General features: G+C 31.5%; 1 long non-coding RNA gene across 2 annotated transcripts in view; it reads left to right on the top strand.

The window, feature by feature from the left end:
* Nucleotides 1-23,194, top strand: part of LOC105369878 (uncharacterized) — a 145,625-nt gene extending 122,431 nt beyond the window's left edge. Inside the window, exons 1-3 of one of the 2 annotated variants that reach the window (XR_945158.1) lie at nucleotides 9,864-10,140; nucleotides 21,946-22,153; nucleotides 22,691-23,194. This is a non-coding gene — a long non-coding RNA (uncharacterized LOC105369878). Of the gene's footprint in view, nucleotides 1-9,863; nucleotides 10,141-21,945; nucleotides 22,154-22,690 lie in introns of those variants that run through there. The other variant, XR_001749241.1, reaches the window with a different exon arrangement.
* The last annotated feature ends 1,945 nt before the right edge of the window (nucleotides 23,195-25,139 follow it).

Raw genomic sequence — 25,139 nt, 5'->3', positions numbered from 1 at the left:
TCATTATGGATATTTGCTTGAAGTTTTCTTTTTTTGTTATGTCTCTGTCAGGTTTTGGTATCAGAATGATACTGGAAATATTCCATGCTCTTGGATAGGAATCCAAGAGCATGTTAAAATGGCCATACTGCCCAAAGCAATTTACAGATTTAATACTATTTCTATCAAACTACCAATGACGTTTTTCACAGAATTAGAAAAAAAATTATTTTAAAAATCAAGTGGAAAGAGCATGAATAGCCAACACAATCCTAAGCAAAAAGAAGAAAGCTGAAGGCATCATGTTATCAAACTTCAAACTCTACTGTAAGCCTACAGTAACCAAAACAGCATGGTACTGGTACAAAAACTGACATGTAGACACATAGACCAATGGGACAAAATAGAGAGCCCAGAAATAATGTGACACACCTAGAATCATCTGATCTGGGACAAAGTCTACAAAAACAAACAATAAGGAAAGTGGTCCCTATTCAATAAATGGTGCTGGGATAACTGACTAGTCATATGCAGAAGGTTGAAACTGAATCCCTTCCTTATACAATATACAAAAATCAAGTTAGGATGGATTAAAGACTTAAATGCAAAACCTAAAACTATACAAATACTGGAAGATAACCTCCTAGGAAATAGCATTTTGGGCATAGGGCCTGTCAAAGATTTCATGATGCAGATGCCAAAAGCTATTGCAATAAAAATAAAAATTGGCAAATAAGATCTAATTAAATTAGAGAGATCCTGCACAGGAAAAAGTAAAACTATCAACAGAGTAAACAAAGAACCTACAGAATGGGAGAAAATATTCGCAAACTATGCATCAAACAAAGGTCTAATACCCAGAATCTATAAGGAACTTAAATGGATTAATGAGCAAAAAAACAAACAACTCCATTAAAAAGTGGGCAAAGGACGTGAACGGACACTTTTCAAAAGAAGACATACATGCAGCCCACAAGTATATGGAAAAATTCTCAACATCTTTAATTATTAGAGGAATGCAAATCAAAACCATTATGGGATACCATCTCACACCAATCAGAAAGGTTGTTATCAGAAAGTCAAAAAACAACAGTTTGTCAATTTCTCAAAGAGCTAAAAGCAGAATTGCCATTCCACCCAGTAATCCCATTATTGATTATATACCCCAAAGAATGTAAATGGTTCTACCATAAAGACACATGCAAGTGTTTGCTCATCATGGCACTATTCACAATAGCAAACACATGGAGTAAACCTAAATGTCCATCAGTGGTAGATTGGATAAAGAAAATATGGTTCTCATATACCATGGAATACTACACAGCTATAAAAAAGATTGAGATCATTGTCTTTTGCAGCAACATGGATAGAGCTGGGTGCCATTATCCTAAGTGAACTAACACAGAAATAGAAAACCAAATATTGCATGTTCTCACATATAATTGCAAAATAAATATTGAATACATATGAATGCAAAGAAGGGAATAACAGACAATGGGGACTACTTGAAGATGGAGGGTGGGAGGAGAGTGAGGACAAAAAGTACCTATTAGGTGCCATCCATATTACCTGGGTAGTGAAATAATCTCTATACAAAATCCTGGTGACACAATTTATCTATGTAACATACCTGCAAATGTACCCCTGAGGCTAAAATAAAGGTTAAAAAAAAAGACTCAGAAATTAAAAGAATAAAAATTTCATACTCAAATTGTTCAACATTTCTACTTTCATAGTATCTTCTCATCTTAGTATCTTACACCCTGTTTTCCCATTCCCTAGTAATTGTGAGAAAAAGAATGCTGAAAAAGAACTCAACCTCTTATCTATGTGTAAAAATATATAATTTGTTAGCATGGCATGTGAAGCTAGCAAAAATCCATTTATCCATATTTCCCTCTGACAAAAAAGTTTTTATCTTATCTTTATAAATCACATCTTATGTGAACTGAATATATAAGAAACCTTTCCATTTGTGATTTCTTGGTATGATTCTTTGAGTCATGTTGTATTCCTCTGTGATCTATATTTAACATTATAGTAGTTGATTAACTCAGCTGTGTATGGACGTAATAATAAATATACCCTAATATGAGTGTGCTAAATCCTAAATATCACAATGTGTCACTCAATTTAGAATCTTATTTTAGTTAAGGTAATAATCTCAATATAACCTTGCAGCTACTTTTATTTTTTTTGTCTTTTATTTTTTTTCTCCTTTAGAAACATTACACTTCCCAATAAAATCCTCTAAGAATATCTATGGTGTGTAACTGGCTTCTGCCCATTTCTAGAATCATGTCACATAAGTAATAGTAGCATGGAATTTGGTGAAATTAGAAAATTTAGAGAAGGATTTAAATAAATCAAAAAATATTTACTTAATAGTAATCTGAAAGTAAAAATTTGCTACTGTACTTGTCAAATCACTTAATGGCATTGTATTATCTTCAATATGTACCCACACATTCTGTGTATATACATGACAGATAGTCATGATAAGTATTGCTATTATTAATAATCATATTATGTAATCTGATGAGTTTTTTGTTAGGTATAGATCTATCTGTGTCAATGGTCTCTATCTAGATTTTTTTTCACAACTAAAGTTTCCATCTGCTGTAGGAATTACCAGTCTTTTGATGTGATAGCCTTTGTCGGCTTATTAGATAATATGTAATCCTTTTTAAATTTAATTACTCATATTTACTATTTGTTTGCATAAGAGATGCATTAGCCCTTGATTGTTTTCAATTTTGTGGGATCCATATGTTAGACTACATCAAAAGGTGAGAAATGACAATATCACAATTAATTCTTTCTTAAGAGAGGATCTGTTCTCTTATAACATCCATTATACATGAGGATAACCTCTTAACCCTACAAACATCTTCTCCAACCTCTGCCCTTTGAATGTTACAATTTATATGAAAGTTAATTTTAAAACAGAATACTGTATTAGTTTGCTAAGACAGCTATAGCTAAGTACCACAAACTGAATCGCTTAAACAACAGAAATTTATTGTCATACTTCTGGAGGCTAGAAGTCCACAACAAAGGTGTCAGCAGGTCCATGCTCCCTCTGAAGGTGCTAGGGAAAGATCTATTCCTTGGCTTCTGGTAGCATAATTCTAATTTTCACAGTGTTCTTCCTGAGTGTATGTCCATCTCTGTCTCAAATTTCTCCTTTCTATAAGGACATCAGTCATATTAGGTTAGGACTCACCCTATTAACTTTATCATAACATAATTAATTACATCTGCAATTACCCTGTTTCCAAATAAGGTCACATTCTGAGATTTTGGAAATTAGGACTTCAACATACGAGTTTTGGGGGATGCAATTCAACTTGTAACAAATACTACTTTGCTTCATTTATTAACATTTTATAACTAATTTCTAATACATAAGTTCTGATACAAATTTTCCAATGAGGGCCAGTCTAATCTTTGGATTCAGAATAGGTAATCAATTTATTGCTATGATTTGAGTGTTTGTCTCTTTCAAAATTCATGTTGAAATTTAATCGTAATTGTAATTATTAAATAGTAAGAGGTGATTAGGCCATTATAGTTCTACCATCAAAGATGGGATTAATGCCATTATAAAAGAGCAAGTTCAGACACCTCTTGCTCTCTTGCCCTCTTGCCTTCCTTCCTCCATATAATGTAACACAGTAAGGAGACCCTTACCAGAAGCCAGCACTTTGATATTGGACTTAACAGTCTCCAGAACTGTGAGCCAATACATATCTGTTCATTATAAATTACCAAGTCTGTGGTATTCTGTGATCGCATCACAAAACAAAGTTTTTTGTGTGTAGATAGAATTGCCCTTTTTTTGTGTGTAGATAGAAATGAGGTTTTTTTTCTTAACTTTTAAGTTCAAGGGTACACGTGCAGGTTTGTTACACAGGTAAACGTGTCAACTTTTTCAGGTGTGAAAGCTTGCTTCTATCATCGACTGTGGTGGATATTTTTATTTTAAAATTAATACATTATAAAATGCAAATGATCTTGGGAAGAAAATAATGCTCTAAAATTTATCTCAGTGGGAATTAAAATCTTGTATTAATGATGTTAAGAGTTTGAGAATATTTAAAATATTAGACTGGCAGACAGCAAAGATGGCACTGACAAAATGGTGTCACCAAGGGGAAATGGTCTGGACATGGAGAAACTCAGCATCCTAAAAACAAGTTTCTTTTTACAGTATTTTTGAGGTCAGAATCTATGTACAATTTCACTGCCTGAAAGATTTATCCTTATCTGTTTTTACTGTTTATATCTTCCTTAATCTTAAGTAAAGTTTAACTAACCCAAAGCTTCATATATTTTGTTGCTCCTATGCAGGACTTTTTAATAAATCAGCATTTCTGGTCATTTAATAGGAAGTTGATGTGGCTACTTGTCAGTACTCTGTCCTTTTCAACTCAAATCAGGACCTTGCTATCTCTTAAAACTGTTTAAACTGCAGTACTAGTTTATAGTAGATGCTACATTTTAAATTGCTTATACCTAAGTATAATAACGTTTTTAATAATTCATTGATTGTTCAGCACCTAGTGAATCAATTCTGTTTGAAATATCTTTATTATATTGTGTTGTCATATTTATGCCACCATTTACAAATTAGGTATTCTATACTTGGTGGTTTTGTTATACCTTATGTGCCATTTTAGGATTTCTTTTTTATGTTTCACTCAAATTATGTAGTGGCACATACTTAATTTTGATGTTTTGCCCTATTTTTCTGCCTTTTCCCTATATTTTTGGGTCTAAAATATTTATTTAAATGCAACTAGTTTTATATGGCTAATTTAAAAACATGAGAAACATAAACTGAATTCCTAGTATTATTTAAAAATTATGATAAATTTAATAAAAATCCATGCATGCTGCTTTGGCTTTATTATAAGACTTACTGTGTTCTCACTTAAAATGGTATATGAAAGTCTCCAAAATTTTAGCACATTGCTGAGATTGCATTTTGGTTATAGAATGAGAGTCCCTATAAGGGGCTAGAATTGAGACTAAGAAAAAATCCATTGCTTTGTATAAAAAAGGAACAAATATATATATATATATATATATTTATGTATGTTATATGTATTTGTTCCTATTTATATATATAAATGTATATACCATGAATTATACAATAAACATATATATACCATTAAAAAATTAATTGCTTTGTATAAAAAACCTATATATATTATATATATTATATATAATATATTAATATATATATGCACCATAAATTATATGATTAATAATAGCAATTTAGGAATAGAGGAAAGCATTTCAAAGGATAAAAATTCTAGAGTAATAGTTACCTGATGGGAAGATGAAGTAAAAGACAAACCAAATAGAAATTCTTTAATGTTGTAATTGGATGAAAACCTTTAAAAAATAGAAAGGTTTAATATCACGTTTTAAGTTGTAACCATGTTATTTTGAAAATTAACTCTTAGTTATTTCTTCCCTACCTTCAAGAAAGTCCACTATACTGACATATTTGAGTCAGTGGTATGCTGGAAGAAAGAAAACAGTGCAGTATTTAGTATGTTACAATATACAGGAAAATTAAAATACGTTCTGAGTGGGCATGGAAAACTCAGTAAATATGGGAATTCACAAATGCTGGCTATATATAAGATGAGAATTCAAGCCAAATCTCATTAAATCTTAAAGGGCAAAATGAATCAAGCAAGCTGGAGTATTTGGGAAGTATCCAAAAAGCTGACATCAAAGCTCTGTGATGTTTTCCATGGATGTTCAATTAATTGCATGTATGTCAAAATTGTCTATTATCCTGTATTTTCAGGTTACCAAAATGATTGCAAGCTTCTTTAAGTTGTCAAGAAAATAAAATAAATTATATGGATCTGAGACTATATTTTATGTGTTCCAGGCACTGAATTAAGGGATGTATATGTTTTCTCATGTACTCATTACAACAATTATTATATAATTTTAATAATGAGAAAAGTGAGTTTTATATTGGAGTCTATAAAGGATATTAAATCAGAATTGGGGTAACTTGTAATGTGAACTCAGTTAATTGAGAGAATTCTGAATTCAGCAGATATTTAAAAATCAGCAGATATTTAAATTATGCATCACTTTACAATAGATTCACATTCTGAGAAATGCTTTTTGTCATTGTGTAAACATCATAGAATGTACTTACACAAACCTAGATGGTAGAGCCTAATACATATCTAGGCTATATAAAATAGCCTATTGTTCCTAGGCTACAAACCTGCACAGCATGTTATGCTGAATACTGTAGGCAATTGTAACACAAAGGTAAGTAATTGTGCATCTAAACCTATCTAAACATAGAAAAGGTGCATTATACATACAGTATTGTAATCTTATGGGACCACCATCTTATGTGTGGTTTGTTTTTTATTGCTGACTTCCTGAAATGTCATTATGAAGTGCATGACGGTACTTTTGTTCTTTGTTTGCCCATGCCAGGTGACCAGAAAACTAAATCCATTTTGCAAATGTAGGTCATTGCTTCAGCTTTTTTTTCCAAGTGTAATATGGAAAAGAGAAGCTAGTATAGGTATATAATGCACTGTATATTTACAAAATTAACATTCTAAATCAAGAAACAGAACAATACAAGAAACACAGAAGTCCCTCTCATGTTCCCTTTCCAGTCACAACCGCTCCAAATATAACCACTATCCTGATTTGTAATAGCCTGGATTACTGATACATAAATGGATTCATATAGCATGAATTATTTTCTACCTGTCTTCCTACCTTAAATATTACATTTTTTTACATTTAGCCACATTGTTGTGTGCTAAATTGTAGATTGTTCTTTTCTGTGTTATGGTATTCTGTTGTGTGAACATGCTTTAAGTAATTTATCCATTCGATGGTGAGTAGGCATTTACTATTTAGATAGTTTGCATTTGGTGCCAATTATAAATAGCACTTTTTTGAAAATTCATATCTCTGGGTGAACACATGTATGCGTTTCTGTTATATATACATTGAAAATGGTAATTGCTAGGTGACAGGATGTATTTATATTCAGCTATAGTCAATAATGTTACAGTTTTCTAAATGGTTTTGCCAATATTGCACTCCCAACTTATACGAGTTCCAGCTGTTCTTCATCTGCACCAACACTCAGCATTTTTTTTTCCATTTTAATCATTGGATTTGGTGTCCACATATATTCATATTTTCATTGACCTATCAGATGTCCCCTTTTCTGGAATATTTTGTTTTAGTCTTTTGCCTGTATTTCTACTAACTTTTCTTCTATCATTTGTTTTTAAAAGGAACTTATTTATGTATTATAGATAGTAAGCACTTTCATACTGATGTAATATATTTTATTTATATATACTATGTATTATTGGATTTAATTTATTAACTTTTTAAAAGATCTTTGCATCTATGTCTGTGAGAGATAGTGTTTCTAGTTTAATTTCCTTGTAAGATCATTTGCTGGTTTTGAAATCAAGTTTATGCTTTCCTCATAAAATGAGAACATCTTTCTTTTATTTCTGTGCACTGTAAGGGTTTGTGTAAGATTGATGTTATTTCTCCCGTAGATATTTGGAGACATTCTCTGGTGAAACTGAGTCTGGAAATTTCTCTGTGGGAAGAATTTGAATAACCATTTCAATTTATTTTATTTTATTTTATTTTTGAGACAGAGTTTTGCTCTTGTTCCCCAGGCTGGATTGCAATGGCGAGATCTCAGCTCACTGCAATCTCCGCTTCCCGGGTTCAAGCGATTCTCCAGCCTTAGCCTCCCGAGTAGCTGGGATTACGGGCATGCGCCACTACACACGACTAATTTTGTATTTTTAGTAGAGACAGGGTTTCTCCATGTTGGTCAGGCTGGTGTCCAACTCCCTACCTCAGGTGATCCTCCCGCCTTGGCCTCCCAAAGTGCTGGGATTACAGGCGTGAGCCACAGTGCCCAGCCTTCAATTTCTTTAATACATGTACAACTAGTAAGAATTCTAATAATTCTAATACTATTTCTCTTGCATTTTTGGGGGAATTTGTCCAAGTCATCCTAATTGTCAAATGTATTGGTATAAAGTTATTTATTAATATCCTCTTATTATATTTTTGATGTCTGTAGAGTCTATAGTGAGATCTTTTTTTATTACTGTTATTGACAATTTGTATATTTTCTTATTTTATTTTGATAAATCTTGCTGGAGTATTTGATTTTTTTTCTATTTTTTTAAAATTATGACCCTTTCTCTTATTTTATTTATTTTTACTCTTTTATTATTCATTTTATCTGTCTACACTTATTAGGTTTAAAATTCTGTTCCCAGAATGAAGCTTCACATGAATAACATTTAGTCTTCCTTATTTTTTTAAACATGAAACTAAGGCTATAAATTTTTCTCTAAACATATCTATCTCTGCATCTCACAAGTTTTAGAATGTTGATTTTTATTTTTATTCACTTAAAAGTTTCTAATTTGGGTCTTATTTTTTCTCATTTATAAATTATTTAGAAATTCTTTAATTTCAAAATAAATGTGAATATGCTGAATTCAATTGTGCTATGAAACACTGTGAATAATTAATATAATTTAAAATTATTGAGGACTTTTTATTAATAATTGTTTATGGTATAGTATATTTTGGTAAATAGTCAATACATGATTAAAATAATATCAATTATGTCTTCAAAATACACATTGTTTTACGTTATTCAGTTATATAAATTGAGTTGCTAATTAAAATATATATTCATTATTGCCATTGTTCATTATAAATCTATATTCTAATTATGTTTTGTCTTATTACTGTACATGCTATTATGATAGGTATATTAAGATCTTATTATTATGGATGTTTAGATTTCTCTCTTTAATTTTGTCAATTATTGCTTTTTATACTTTGAAATAATGTTATTGGGTATATACATATTTAGACTTATAATGCCTTTCTTCTGAATGTTTTCCTTTTTATTAAGATATATACTGTTTCTGTACTCATCTTTCTTAAAGTACTTTACTACCTTCAGTTGTGTTTCTTTCAGAAAGTACTCCTTTTCACATTTTCTTTTTCAAAGAGGCATCTATTTTGTTTATTAATTTTAATTTCTAGTTTTGTCTCTACTCTAAATTATCTTTTTACCATTTTACATCTTCTTTTTTCCTCAGTTCTATATTGTTTTTGCTACTTTCTCTAATTAGAATTCAATGTTTTTCTTTCATATATTTTATTATTTCCTAATTAAATTTGTATTACTTTGAAATGTTAATTTATAGTTTTGATCTGCTTGTGGGTAGGTTTTTCAGGAATTTTAAAATATTTTTAAAGGATATTATTCAGCTTCTTATGGTCTTTTGGCTTATAAATACTTTGGAGGAAACTTGGCAGTGATTCCTTCCCTGCTCATTCTATATGAAATTAATTTGTCTGAATTATTAGGAGAAAGAAGCAGGTCAGAATAGTATTTAGTCTTCATTAAAGTTGAAAGATATGGCTATCTATTCTCTGAGATGACCTCTTTTTCCCACCCCTACCTCTAACTATTTTCTCTCTCTTCCATTTCTATTTTATTTATCTGAAATTTAAAATCAGTATCTCTTAGTTTTTCTCAGTATATGGCTTTGTTCTGGACGACAGCTTCAGCTTTTAAATTTTGTTTCAGCCCATCATGGACGAAGAGGGCATGAGGCCTGTCATAACCCCTAGCACAGGGTGATCATACATACTTTGGGAAATCCTCTCTCGTTAAGTGTGGACGTTAACATTGGCTTGTTTTTAACCAATAAACTATGACCAAAAAAAATAGTGTGATGTCATCCCTATGATTGTTACATTGTTCAGAACTCCTTCCTGGTAACAGGCTTGCTCTAGAGACTTTCTGCCCTACCTGGTATAAAATGAGAGGCCATCATTAGGGGCCCACATGACAAGGAACTTGGAGTGACCTCCATGAGACCACCAGCAAAAAGTTAGGGTATGCAGTTATACACTTGCAAAGAAATGGGTTCTGCAACAACCAGAGTAAGCAGAGAAACAATTCTTCCCCAGTAGAGCCTCCAGATGAGAATGCAGATTGGTTGACATCTTGATAGCTGTCTTCTGAGGCTTTAAGTAGAGGACTTCAGTAAGCCATATCCAGAATCCTGACATACAGAAAATGTGAGATAATACATATGTGTCATTTTAAGTCACTAAGTTTCTAGTAATTTGTTATACAGCAGTAGAAAACAAATACAAGCTTCTTCAGAACTTGCTTTGGAACCTTGTCAATTACCTGTGGATGTGCAAACACCCGTGCAGTTTCAGCTATTATTCAATAACTGCCCTTTTGCACTCTCTAGTTGAGTGTCTAACTGTTTTTCATATTGTTTTGTTCTCAGCTCTGGCAGCATCTTTCTTCTTTCCCTGCTCATATAATGTATTCCCTCAAGCTGTAGGTAATTTTTCTCTACCTATTGTATTTTGGAGTTCATGTGGGTACAATTGCAGTTGGCTTTGTTTGTTAAGTTATGCATAGATTTTTTGGTTATATTTTCCTTTTGCTCTGTCTGTTCTTTTAAAAGGGATTGGATGAGATTTTAAAAACTATGTCACATTGTCATCTTCCAAGAATTTCTTTATCACATTGTTAAAATTTACTGGATCTTGCCAAATTGTTCTCCAGACTGGTGTATTCTTTAAATCCATGGAAAACAGTTCCAATTACTCAACATTCTTGGCAGTGGCAGAAATTGTCAGCTCTTAATATTTTAGTCAGTTTGCTAGATTTGAGATAGTGTCTAACTGTGGTTACATTTGCATTTCCTTGGTTACTATCTTTATGATCCTTTCTTAAATTTCATAAATTACTTTTTCATATTCTTTGCTGTCTTTTTTGGGGGACCATTTTACCTTTTATTAATCCTAGTGATTATCTGTTTTGGATACCAGTTTTCTGTTGTTTGTACTCATTTCAAAATATCTTTGATAGTCTTTAGCTTCTATATAGACAATATTTTATGCAAAAAGTTATGATATAATTATATTTATTATTATTTTTTCTTTTTTTCACTTGTCCTGTTTTCACCCTCTTTAAGACACCTCCTGAGGTCTTTACTGATATACTTTCTTCCAAAATTTTAAAAGTTTGCTTTTCAAATTTAGGTAATCAAATCTAACTAGAATTGATCCAGGTCCATGGAGCAGATATTTATTTTTTATTTCTTTGTAAATATAGTTTTATTCATACATTGTATGCACGTTGTTTGATTCAGCTTCTGACCCAATAGAGTTTGCTATCACTATTAGTAATTTTGAGACAAATTAATATTTTATATGAAGAAAATTATAATTGGCTTCTTTAATTTTTTCCTATTCTTATATATTTGAGTTATTTTGTTTCTGTGAAATTACTGGCTTGACCATATAATGTTGAATATGCATAGTAAGAGTAAAAAATAATGTTGCCTTTTGAGTTTAAGGAGAGTGTTATAAGTATTTCAAAATTAAGTGTGAATTATAATATATGTATGTTATCATATCAAATGTAATATAAAGAATGTTCCCATCTGTTCCTGGTTTCTTCTGATTTTTAAATAATAAATGATAATTTATTTTTTTATTAATTTTCTGCATTTTCAAGATAATCATTTGATTTTCTTTTTTACTTTATAATTTCATAAATTAGTCTGGTGAGTTTTAAAGTAGAAATTAGTTCTTCAGAAGTGAATTTGTTGTTCAAGATGTGCTGTCATCATTGACATAGGATGACATATTGTATATTTTTTCTAATGGACTTTGTCTTTTAGATCAATTGTAGTTTCAAAGCAAACTGAAGAAAGCACAAAGAATCCCCATATACTTCCTACCACCCCATTGCCCATATGCACCCTTCACTTTCAACATTCCCCATCAGAGAGCTACATCTGTTTTAAGTGATTAATTTACATTGACACATTATCACTCATAGTCCATAGTTTGTATTAGGGTTTATTCTTGATGTTATACATTCTATGGGTTTTGATAAATGTATTATGACAGGTATGCATCTTTAATAGCAACATCCAGAATAGTTTCATTGCCCTAAAAGATCTCTGTGTTCTGCCTATTAGTCCCTTCCTCTCTTTTCCCACCTTGGCAACCACTGATCTTTTAATTGTTTCCATAGTTTTGCTTTTCCAGAATGTCCTATAGTTTGTATAATACAGTGGATGACCTATTTTTTATTTTTCTGTTTACTTGTTCACTGTCTGTGGTATGCTTGTGTACTGGAATGTTGACAATATCTTACTTTTACCTATTTGATCTTTCTCTAGGCTGTCCTACTTCACTCTCATTCTTATGTCCTGGATATTCAATAGTATACTTTTAATATATTTTTTAAATAGTGGACTTTAAAAATAGTGTGACCACAGATATGGTTTGCTTAAATATTATATTGTTTACCTATTGTTTTTGATCTTTATTAAAAGGAATGTTTTATGCAATCTTTTTAGATTTGCTTATTTAATTCAAAATATTGTTATGCCAATGGCCTTTGGATTCTTTTCTTTTTATTTAACTATTATAAACAGTGCTATTATGAACCAATTTATGTCTACCTCATTTGCAGATATGTAGGAATTTCTCCTGTTACATACTTAAGAATAGAATTGTTGGTGTAGGCGCTATGTGAGTAGTTTTGCAGGATAATTCCAAATTGTTTCCTAAAGAGGATATTTTAATTCATAGACATGTAACCTGTAATATATAACAGAGGACTTTAAACACAGGCTCACTAACATCTAGCGTGGTTCAAATTTATAATTTTGCCGTTAAAAATTATTCAATAATGTGTTTAAAGTGCTTGTTTACTATGGCCTTTGTTTACAATATCCACACTAACTAAAATATTTTTAAACTCAATGATTTCCTATCATTCTCTTTTCATTAAGGATTATGTCCTTCAATAAGAATTATATCAAGGATTCATATATAGGACTGGTCTCACACATGGTAACTTTAATGTTTTTATATTAAAATGTATATCAAAATTTTCTCCCTTGAGCCCAGTTTGATATTTCACATTGTTTATTAAACGAGTCCAGTGGGCAGCATGGAATGAATTATTTCACTAAAATTTTATAAATCATATTAATTGCTATCTTTACTAGATTTCCCAGCACTTTGTTTGTCCAAGAGCAATAATGAGGGGCCAGATTGATCGCAATATTTTAATAACTTGTCCAAGAACATAAAATTAGTTTGTTGCAGAAAAATCTGATCTCACATATGGCTAATGTGAAGCTTCTTTGGCACTTTACAATGTAATCCTTCCCTTGACCTTTGAAGCATTCCCAAATGATTTAAATTTCTCACTAAGAACTTGTTTTCACTGTTTGACTCACCAAAAGGAGTCTTTGGCTTGCAGGGCTGTTTTGTTTAAATAGTAGAGCTACTCAATAAATATTCAGTAATGGCCAATCACAGGAAGTCACTTGTTAAGTAGGAATTTATTTTGTCTTACATAATATAAAATTAAAAAAATGCTTTCAAAATGTTTCAGTAAAACATGAAAGTATATACACTCACTAAACATTTCAAACAATCTTACAGGAAAAAACAATAATGGAGACTAGATATTATGAAAGACACATATACCTGCTTTTTATTTTAAATATTTTTTTAATCACAGAAATGTTAGGTCTAGCCTGAAGAAAATTTTATTTTTGTTCCACACAAATCTGCATTTGCATATTGGTATGAGAGTTTAAGGGGGTTTATTCTCTCTGCTTTTCAGTAATGGATAAATAGTTCCTTAGAGACATTGTGAAATGTATTGTCTTATAAAAAGCACATTAATTTGCTGCCCAGTTTAATTTTTTTTCTCATAGCCCTAGGCTAACTTACTATGAATTGAGAATACTTGATTTTCTTAATACTAAGGGTCTGTTATAATAAGAATAATTATAGAACATGAAGTCTTGTTCATGTATCATTTATTTCAGAAATCACAGACATGTTTCAAAAGTACAATAAAATAATTTCATAGAACATTAAAGTGGAAACAAACTATAAAATTAATTTAACAGTTTTATAAATAACATGTTGTCTTTGTTCAATATGGGACTACATAATGGTTTAAAAATGTTAGTCAATATTCATTACACATCTTCATTTTTAAAAACTCTTCCTTTTATAACTTGAAAATACATGTAATAATATGATATGCCAAGATATTTTGTATCTGAATTTTCATTTTATGTAATCATGTCCTTTTTTTCATGCACATAATTGCAGGAATTTTTGTTTGTTTATATTTTGCTAAATGTATCTGTGGATATATTACTTTTTAAAGAAATATCTAGGGTATATGCAAAAAAAAAACAGATTTGCATAATCAAATATTTCTAGGGAGTGCCTGGATAAAATCCAGGCATAGTTGAACAATGCAGTTCTTTATTGGCACATTGATAAAAATCTTTATTAAGCGATTTAAATCTTTATCAGGTAGTTAATATATAGTGAAACTTCAAAAATAGAATATAGGATGTAGCAATTTAATTTCCACAAATTATTTAATCATGTGACATTACATGGGATTTGGATTTTTTTGGAACACCTTTGAAAAATCATGTGCTGTTTATGACAGTTATTCTAAATAATAAGTAATTTTATGCTAAATTGCATTGTTATCCATGATGTCAAGGATTTTAAACCTGATTTTTTGTATTATAATCTAATCTGCTTTGTGTTATTCTCCACTGGAGATATATATATATATATATATATATATACACACACACACACACACACACATACACATACACACACACACACATATACATATATACGCACACACATATATATACACACACACGTATATATGTGTATATATACATATATATACACATATATACACACATATATACAGACACATATATGAATATATGTGTATATATACACACACATATATATGAATATATGTGTATATATACACACACACACACACACATATATATATATAGAGAGAGAGAGAGAGAGAGTTTGGTTTTATAAAAATGTCGTGAATTTCCCATCCTTAAGTTACTTTATAAACTTTTGTGTATCCTGAAATAGGCTATATGGATTGTTGAATATGTGTAAGGTTAGTTGCATGCTATTCTGAGAGCAAATATGTTTATGAAAAGGGGCTATGGTTCAATTAGTTATTTTTCTATATTATACATTGACTAAATTTAATATTTGTGTTTTGGAAATAAATCTTTTTATCTTAGAATAATGTTAGACTTCCATAAAAATTACGAAGATAATACAGAGAATTATCACATACTCCACACTCAGTTTCCCCCTATTATTAATATTTGACATGTATATGCTACTTTTGTTACAATTATGGAACCAATATTAATACATTATGACTAATTTAAGTCCATTCTTCACTCAGATATTCTTAGCTTTTAGCTATTGTTCTTTATTTCTTTCAGGATTTCATCCAGGATATCACATCCCATTTGTTTGTCATGTCTCTTTAGACATCACTTGTCTGTGACAATTTCTGAAATTTCTTATGTTTTTTTTTATGACCTTGAGAGTTTTGAGGAATACTGGTCAGGTATTTTATATTTTTCTCATGATGAGAGTGGGATTAAAGTACCATTTTCATCATCTCATGTATTAAGGGTACATACTATCAAAATGACCTATCAATGTTGATGTTGACCTTGATGATTTGGCTGAGGTAGTGCTTGCTAGATTTCTCTATTATAAAGTTACTCTTCTTAAACCCATTTTCTACTATAATATTTGAGTGGAGGTCACCATTGCACAGCTCATACTTAATGATTGGGAAATTATGCTCTTCTCCCTTGAGGGCAGAATAGCTGCATAAATTATTTGGAATTCTTCTGCATGGGAGATTTATCTCTTCACCTCTACTTATTTTAATTAATTAATATCAATACAAACTAATAATTATTTAACATTTTCAGTTATAATCAATATTATGTTATTCATTTGTTTCTCAAACTGTTGGCCATTCTGAGATCTTTCTGTTGACTCCTATGTCTCTTTGACTATCCTACATCATTGTGGATTTTCTTCCTCTTCCTCCAGGTTAGAATCGGCCATTTCTCCAAGGATTCTTGTTCCTTTTATTTTAGAATAAATCTAGAAAGCGAGATCAGAGTGCTAGGTATGCTTATTGCCACTGCGGCCTCTTTGCTTTGAGGCCCTTTTAGCTGACAGAGCAAGGAAATATATGTGTATACTAATGAATGTATCTACACATATTCTTAAATATTTCTATATGTAATCATCTGTATCTATATTAACTAAGCATGATTTAATACAATATCTTCCACTCGAATCCATTACCACATGGAACATTCTAGCCTCCTGCCCTTCCTTTTATATAAATTCCCACCATCCATCATCCATTTACTTAATTGTTTAGTATAGATGCATATTAGTATCAGGATTGTTAACCCCATACACCATGGGAAAAACTCTTATAGTGATTATGTACAGCCTTTGTGGCTTTTTTGTTTGTTTTGCTTTTATACTTACAAATTCTACACACTTCTAAAGAAACTCAGGCTAGTACTTATTTCCCCTAACCACTTCAGAAAAGTTATTTCATTCACATATAAGTCAGATTGACATGTTACATTCTTCATTCCATGTTGGAATCCTCCAGTCTCCAAAGGGATTTTTTAAAATTTGTGTTCATTAATGTTCATTCTTTATGCTCTAAAGTTCTATGACTATAAGAAAATACATACTGTCACATAACCACCAGTATAATATCATATGGAATAGTTTCACCACCCTAAAAAAGCCTTTTGCACTTCACCTATTCAAATCTTTCTTCTTTACCATAAACTCCTGCCAACTACCGTCTTTGTACCATCTATATACACTATATACACTTTTTCCAGTGTCATATAGTTGCAATCACATGGTAGTAGCCTTTCCAGACTTACTTATTTCACTTAGCAATATGCATTTAAGATTTTTCCATGCCTTTTTGCATGATCTTGATAGGTCATTTTTTTAACTCTGAATTGTAATCCATTGTTTGAATGTAGTACAGTTTGTTTATCTATCCACCTATTGACAAACATCTTTCCTGCTTCCAGTTTTTGGCCATCACAAAGCTGCTAGGAGCATTCATGTGCAGTTTAATGTAGACATACATTTCAAATCAGTGGGATAAATATGTACGCGTTCTATTTCTGGTTGTGTGGTAAGACTATGTTTAACTCGATAATAAACTGCCAAACTGTCTCTCAATGTGATTGCACCATTTTGCATCCCAGCTGGCAATACATTTTCTGTTCTTCATTTTTGGATTTTAGCTATTCTAATAGTTGTGTAGTAGTATGTCATTGTTGTTGTGATGTACAATTTCTAAATGATAATGATGTTGAACAATTTTAAATGTCTATGTGCCATCTGTATATCTTCTTTGATTAAATGTTTGTTCATATATTTGCCCATTTAAAAACAACTGAGTTGTTGCTTTTCTTATTGGTGAGTTTTAAAAGTTTTTTTGTATAGTTTGTTAAATGCTCTTTTGCTTTTTTTTAAAAAAATTTAGATTCAGGGGGTATATGTGCAGGTTTGTTACATGGATATATTGTGAGATGCTGAGGTTTGGGCTCCAATGAAACCCATCACCCAGATGGTGAATATGGTACCCAATAGATAGTTTTTCAACACTTATTTTCCCTCTCCTTCCCTCCTTTTGGAGTCTCAGTGTCTATTATTCCCATCTTTATGTGCAAGTCCTTTATCATATATGTGTTTTGCAAATATTTTCTCTCAGTCTATGGCTTGATTTTTTATTTGCTTGCCAGTGTATGTCACAGATAATACATTTTAATTTTAATAAGATCCAGCCTATCATTTTTTTCTTTCATAAATTGTGCTTTTGGTATTATATCTAAAACTCATCACTAAACAGAAGACTACCTCATTTTTCCCCTATGCTTAGTTTAAAACTTTTACAGTTTTTTTTTTAACCTGTAGGCCTATGATCAATATCTATTAATTTTGTGGAAGGTATAAAGTTATATAGGATTTTTTTCTATGTATACATAATAAGATTCCAACATCATTTGTTGAAGAGACTATTCTTTCTGTATTGAATTACCTCTGTTTTTCTGTCAACAATGAGTTGACTCTATTTGTGTAGGTCTTTATTCTGCTTCATTGTGTATTCTTTTGCCAATGCCACTCTATCTTGATTAGTGTAGCTGTGTAGTAAGTTTTGAAACCAGATTGTATGAGAACTCCCAACTCTGTTCTCAGTATTGTGATGGCTAGTTTAGTTGTTATAATTCCAGATAAACTTAAGAGTCAGTTTCTTGATACCTTCATAATAACTTGCTAGAATTTTGATTGGAATTTCATTGAACATGTCAATAAAATTGGAAAGAACTGACATCCTAAAAATATTGATTCTTCCAAACTTCATTCATGGAGTATCTTTCCATTTATTTAGAGCTTTAAAAATTTATTTCATAAGAGTTTTATAGTTTTTCATATACAGACAACGTTCTTGTTTTAGATTTATACCTAAGTATTTCAAATTTTGGTACTATTATAAATGGTATTAATTTTCTTAAAGTTTCAAATTATAATTATTTATGACTGGTATATAGAAAGCAATTGAATTTTGTTTAAAAACTTTACATGCTTTCAGGTCCAGAAGTTTTGTTTTTGTTTCTGTTTTCAGTATATTCCTTGAAATGATCTACCTAGATATCATGCGATAAAACTTGACTGTTTTGTTTCTTCCTTCCCAATTTGTGTACTTTTTATTGACTTCCGTCTTCTGATTGCAGCAGCTAAGATGCCCAGAACAACGGAAAGAGAGGGCTTCCCTGACCTGTTTTAGATCTTTAGGGGTGAGGGTTCAGTTTTCCACCGTTTCTGTAGGAGTTCTTTATTTCTAGTAAGTTCCTCTTCTATTTCTAGTTTCTGAGAGTTTTTGTCATAATTGGTGTTGGGTTTTGGCAGATGCCTTTTCTGATTAAATTGACACGATTATATGATTTTTTCTTTCTTTATAGCCTGTTGATATTGTGAATTTTATTAATTAAATGTGGAATTTTGAACAAATCTTGCATACTTGGATAAATCTCACTTGGCTGTGTTGTATAAAGCCTTGAACTCCTGAGCTCAAGAAATCCTGCTGCCTCAGCCTCCTGAGTTACTCGAACTATAGGCACAGGCCATCAGGCCCAGTTTCTAGCTTTCTTTTGATTAATTACTGTTAGTATAGTGTAGTTTTTTCATCCTTTTACATTTTACCTATCTGAGTAGGTTATATGAATATAATTACTTATATAAAATATATACTATTATTATATATAAATAACACATAATATTTAAAGTATATATTCTATAATATATATTATATATTGTTATTTAAAGTGGTTTCTTGTAGACAATATAGAGTTGAGTCTTTAGCAGGTCTGACCATTCCTGCTTTTGTTTTTAAGGTTATTCTAATTATCACTTGGCATGTTCTAATTATTATAGTTATTGAATTACACTAGGTTGGGGAAGTGTAAAAATCAGTGTTCCTTCAGGAAAACAAAATTCACTCTATGTATTCTAGGTACTACATATTTTAATGTAAGAAAGCTTCTGTTTTCTTGGTCCTTGGAAGGACAGAGGAAGCAATCAGCCACTCAAATCAGCTTGTAGCACTAAACTTAGTGTTTTACTATATCTCATAAAATGCATCTGAAAGTCTGAAGAATCTCCAAAATGCTCATTGTTAACTCTCACAAAGGGCAGCAGCAGAGTAGATGTTTCTTAAGTCCTAGCAAGAAAGCTCTTGTGAATCTTAATCCTGCCCAAAAGTAAGCTTGCTACTGCCACTGGGGGAAAATATGGATCCTTTTTTCTTAATCTTTCAAATCTCTAGAGATTTCCTCTTCTTGGAAAACTCCAATTCAGATACATATTGGAAGGGAGGTTAAGGGAATTGCAGATTCTCACTCTCTTCTGTACTGTAATAGATAATGTATCCTGATAGTTTGAAGAAGTAGACGAGTGTCATGATATACAATATGCGTACAGTTTAAAATAATTACTCTTGAGGTTTAAAATCTGATTTAGAAAACAAGAAATAATTACATTTAATAATTATAAAACATCAGCAAATGCAGATGTAGCATATTTCTAATATAATTTAAATCTCACAGTAGACTGTAAGATTTAAGGGTATAATGATTACGTTTTGTTCATTTTTGTATTCTCAAACCAAACATATTTCTCTGGCACCTTTATTTATGTACTTATTAGATGTTTGATCAATGAGTCAATTTTGTAGTGAATAAGACTTCTCTATTGGTAATTTAAATTTAACACAATCTTCAAACAACTCTTTTAGGGTTGAAGAGATTTTTTATATTACAGTATTTGGACCAAGGATTTTAATACTCCCTAAGATCTCCTATGGACTTTACAAGATAAAATGGGCAGTTTGAAATCAAGTCTAAATGATCAACAGGTTGCCATCTACTCTCTCATATAACCTTGCTCTGATGTGTTCAGTTAACTAGAATTGGTGAATTTTTTCTTTGCTTTGTATGTTTTATTTGAGCTATTATTTTAATGAGCATTTCTAATTTTTGTATTTGGTTTTAGGTATTTTTTTTCTTATTATATGCTCTTCCCTTGTTCATTAATTTTGAGGATGTATTCAAAGCCTGAATGAGGAAATGAAATAGTGCTCTAGCTTTCTTATAATGTAAGATATTTGGAAATATAGCCTAAGTTGATGAGCACAAAGTGTTGGAATTATGTGAAATAGACTGGTACCAAATGAAATTGGTATAGGGAGGAGTGAGAGACACCCTGAGCCTTGGAAAGGAAGTGAAGCATGATGGAAGTTGATGGAAGGTAATGGAGAAAAGAAGGGCATTAGCCAAACATTACCAAGGTGATTACCACACTCTGGTGAAAATCATTCAGTGGAAATACTTTTCCCCATCTATTTCAATTTTCCATGCAATTGGTCATCTGACAGCTGCAGTATAGCTTCCCAAGTTCCTTACTAGGAGGGTTTTCTGAATGATTTCAAAACCATGTTAGCAAGGGTCAAGAAACAAGAAATTAAAGTTGCTCTGTTACTAATCTGTAAAAATGATGTTGTAGCATGCATGATCTCTATTTATAACAAGTTTAGAACTGTCTTTCCTTATTTTGGGGTCTATGTTCAGCATAGGAATGATATTTGGAGTCCTCTGCCTAAATAGTTTTAGATAAAGTCCCACAATTTATGGTGAAAATAGAAATATTTACATGATATTCTAAGTTTTGTAAAAATCAATCAGAGAAATTAGGAAAGCTACCTCCAACCAAGGACAACTGATGGATTATTTTGCATAAGTGGGGCTGACTTTACCTGTTACATAATACTTTTGATAAAGTATGAAGTTATATAGGGAGTTTTGTACATCAATACCATAGACCATAACTGTCGCTTTGCACCTAGAATTGGCCACAGGCAATAAATAATTACTTAGGCTATTAATATTTCTATTGATCACTGATAGATGGCTGGATCAAATGGTACTTTAAAGTAGGTTTTCAGACTAATATTGATAATTTGAATGTTTATGTTCTGTATTTGGCAAGATCACATGTATGTAAACTTTGCGTGTTCTATCTAATTTACAAATATCTCTTTACGTAGAAATAACCCTCCAAAAGGGATATGGAGTCAAACTATAAAGAAATTTTGAAAAAGATTCCAAAGTGGGTGTTAAATTTTAGTCACAGAAGTGATGAAAGGTTTTTAAATTATTATAGTTCTTCCATTTTTGTAGTCTCCAGACCTATATGGACTCCACAAAACAAAATAACTTTTTTTTGAGACAGAAAAAAAATAGTAGTCCGCATTGTTTCTGGAGAAATTTAGTATTCCTAAATATTTGTGGGTAATTGAAGTTGTCTAGTAATTCTTTAATATATTTCCATTGACAGCGTGATGCTGAGGTATTCCCTGTATCTTCTTTGAACAATGGGATGGAATGGCATACAGCAGAAATAATGCTCTTAGTTTCTGCCTTGGACCAGAAGCTCTCTCTTCCTGTTACTTGGAGCCCTGTGTCTCCCTGTGAGTAGCCCAACTACCTTCCTGCAGAGATATCATGAATCTTGGGGAGCACACAGAAAGGAAGACAGCCCCCAGGTAAGTCCAGCTTTTCTATCATCATCAGCAGACAGCTAGGTATGTGAGAGAAGTCATATTAGACTCTCCAGACCACACCACGCATTGAATGTCACCAAGTGACACTGGTCAATGCTACTTGAAGCAGAAAAATCATTCCAGTGAGAATTTCCAGAATGCTTGGCCTGCAAAATTATGAGCTATAATAAAATGATTGTTGTTTTCAGTCATTAGGTTTTAGGGAAAGTTTCAGCGGTGAGTAACTAAAAATGCTTCTTTTATTTTTTTCTGCAGAAGTTGCTGAGGAAATACACAAAGCCTAAATTAGTAATCTATTGCTGCATAACATATTACCCCTCAACTTAGCAACTTAAAAAAAACAGTATTGTCTCATGGTGTCTATGGATTAGGAGTCCAGATGAGGCTTCCATGGGTCCCAGGACTGGGTCTTCTGAAGGTTACAGTCTAGGTGTTGGCTGGGGCTGAAATCAGTTTAAGACTTGACTACTTGACTAGTGGTAGATAAATTTTAAATTTCCTTAACATGTTGTTCACCAGAAATAGTTACTTGCTGATTGCTGAACTGAGGGTCTCCGTTCCTCCTGAACTTGTGGCACAATGTTTTCCTCGATTTTTCACCAAATGGACATCTTCCAAATCAGGCAGCTCACATTGGCTTCATTGGAGCAGCAAGTGAGTGGGCAAGAAAGAGTTCAAGAAAGATGGTTCCAAATATATGCAAGTCTTAGTCACCTGTAACCTAATATCAGTAGTGTCATCCCATCACCTTTACTGTGTTCTAGTCATTAGAACCAAACTACTAGTTCCAGCCCACACTCAAGGGTATGGAATTACACAAGGGAAAGAATACCAGGACGTAAAGATCATTCATGACAATTTTAGCAGTCTGTCTGCTACAAATCCTTAGCTTTCCAGAAGTATACAAAAGAATTTTAGCCCCTCTTCGGTCATGGAGTTATCTATCAAGATTGAGTTACTCAAATAACCTGGTATATTCTATGATTTCTCATATTAAACATTCAATTTAATGTCAATAATCAATCAAGGATGTATTTTGTCTCTTTTAGTAAGATTTTCCTTCTTTGGGTTTAAAAAAATCTATTAAAGTTTCAATAGAGTTTCTTGCATGTGATAAATGTTTAATAACTGAATGCATGGAGAAAACAAAATTACACACTACTCAGACATATATTGGTAGACATTGGATATGTTTAGACTTAAATGATACTTTTCATTTAAATTAAAATAACTGAAAGAATTTTTTGTATGCATTAACTCTGATAGATATGTATGCTCATTATCTTCAGCTGCCCTCTTCGTGATGATGTCCTGTCTCTATTAGCATGATTTGGTTAGCTGGCCCAAAGCCAGGCTACCTGTGTTCCAAGTTGACTATGCATTTAACTGGATTCGTAAATTTGAAAGGTCTTTTTCTATGCTATGCCTCTGTTTTCTCATCCCACATCCATATCCTCAATTAAATACATCAACAAACCTCACTATTATTAACTCAAAATGTATTCTTAATCCAACCATGCCCATTGTTTCCATCACTATTTCCATGTTCTAAACCACCATACATTTTGGTTTAGGTTTTGTCAAAGGCCTTCAGACACTTCCCTTGACCTCCACCCCTACCTTGAGCAGCAAATATGCCTTAGAATATTTGTCAGCTAATGTCATTTCTTTGCTTGGAAACTTCCAGTAACTTCTTTTCTCATTTAGAATCACATTCAAATTCCTTAACATGCCCAGCTGCATTCTAGAAAGTCTGGGCCTTTTGTTACTCCCACAACTAATTTCATTTTCTTCTTCCTTCACTCACTTTCCATCCATGTTGCTTTTTTGCTCTTCGTTGATCACCCTGTGTATATTTCCAGTTTGCAGCATTTAATTGTCAATTCCTCTGCCTAAAGTGTAGTGTGATCCACTCACTTCCTTTTAAAAATTTCTGTACAAATATCAATTTATCAGGGGTTTGTATCCTTGGATTTCTCCATCTGCCCTCCTTATTTCACTTATTTTAAATCAATCTCTCACGATTGGTCATTTCATATATCTTGTTTATTTACTTATTATTTGTTTATTTTCACCCAAATATAGGCTCTATAAATAAGGAACAGTATCTGTTTTATTGCTTATGAAATAAACATTGTATGAATGAATAAATTTACATATATAAATATAAAACAATAAAGATGCATAAAAGAAGAGATATCTAATTTGGCAAAACCATATACCATTTGTTCTGACTAAAAGAGCAAAAGTGATTTTATATTAAAATATTGGAAGTAATCTGGATCAAACTCTTAGTAGCTAATATATAATCATCATAGTACCCTTTTATCATTTTATTAATAATTCTCATTGACCATAGAGAATATTGGGATTTATAATATTCAGAGTGACACACATTTGGAATATAAATTTGTATAAATTATTCTAATACAATAGTTAGGAAAGCCATGCCCTAATACATAATAATATGTTAGGACATTTGTAAAAATGCCTATAATTCTTAAATTAAGATAATATATTATACAGATGATATGGCTTTTTGCAATCTATTAAAGCACACATATTAAACGTAGCATTTAAATTGTGCACATTCTAAATGGATGTTTTACTCTTGTTGCTCTGCTTTCTTTTTAAACTGTGTTCATATGTATTAGTCAAGCTAGCCTACATCATATTTTTCTAGTGATATGAAAAGTCTTTAATTTTCCTTAGTAGTTTGGAAAGAGACAATTAAGAACCACAGGAATCAAGTATCTTACTCTCCAAGGATAATAAAGGAGAACTATAATTTGACAAGTAAGGAAAGCTAGTTAAAGGACATCCCACAGGTTTGATTAAAACTTTGAAGATTAAATCTGTTCTCATGTCTGTATGAAACTGGCATTAAAAAAAGAGCTGCCCTTTCTAGGGTGCGATTATACAAAGAGTTCTATAATTTTAGATGCTATTCAAATACTGTCATTCAATA

Source organism: Homo sapiens, chromosome 12 (genome assembly GCF_000001405.40).
Source record: "Homo sapiens chromosome 12, GRCh38.p14 Primary Assembly".
Taxonomy (NCBI): Eukaryota; Metazoa; Chordata; class Mammalia; order Primates; family Hominidae; genus Homo; species Homo sapiens.
Note: the sequence above shows the minus strand (reverse complement) of the source record. Positions and strands in the feature narration are given on the sequence as shown.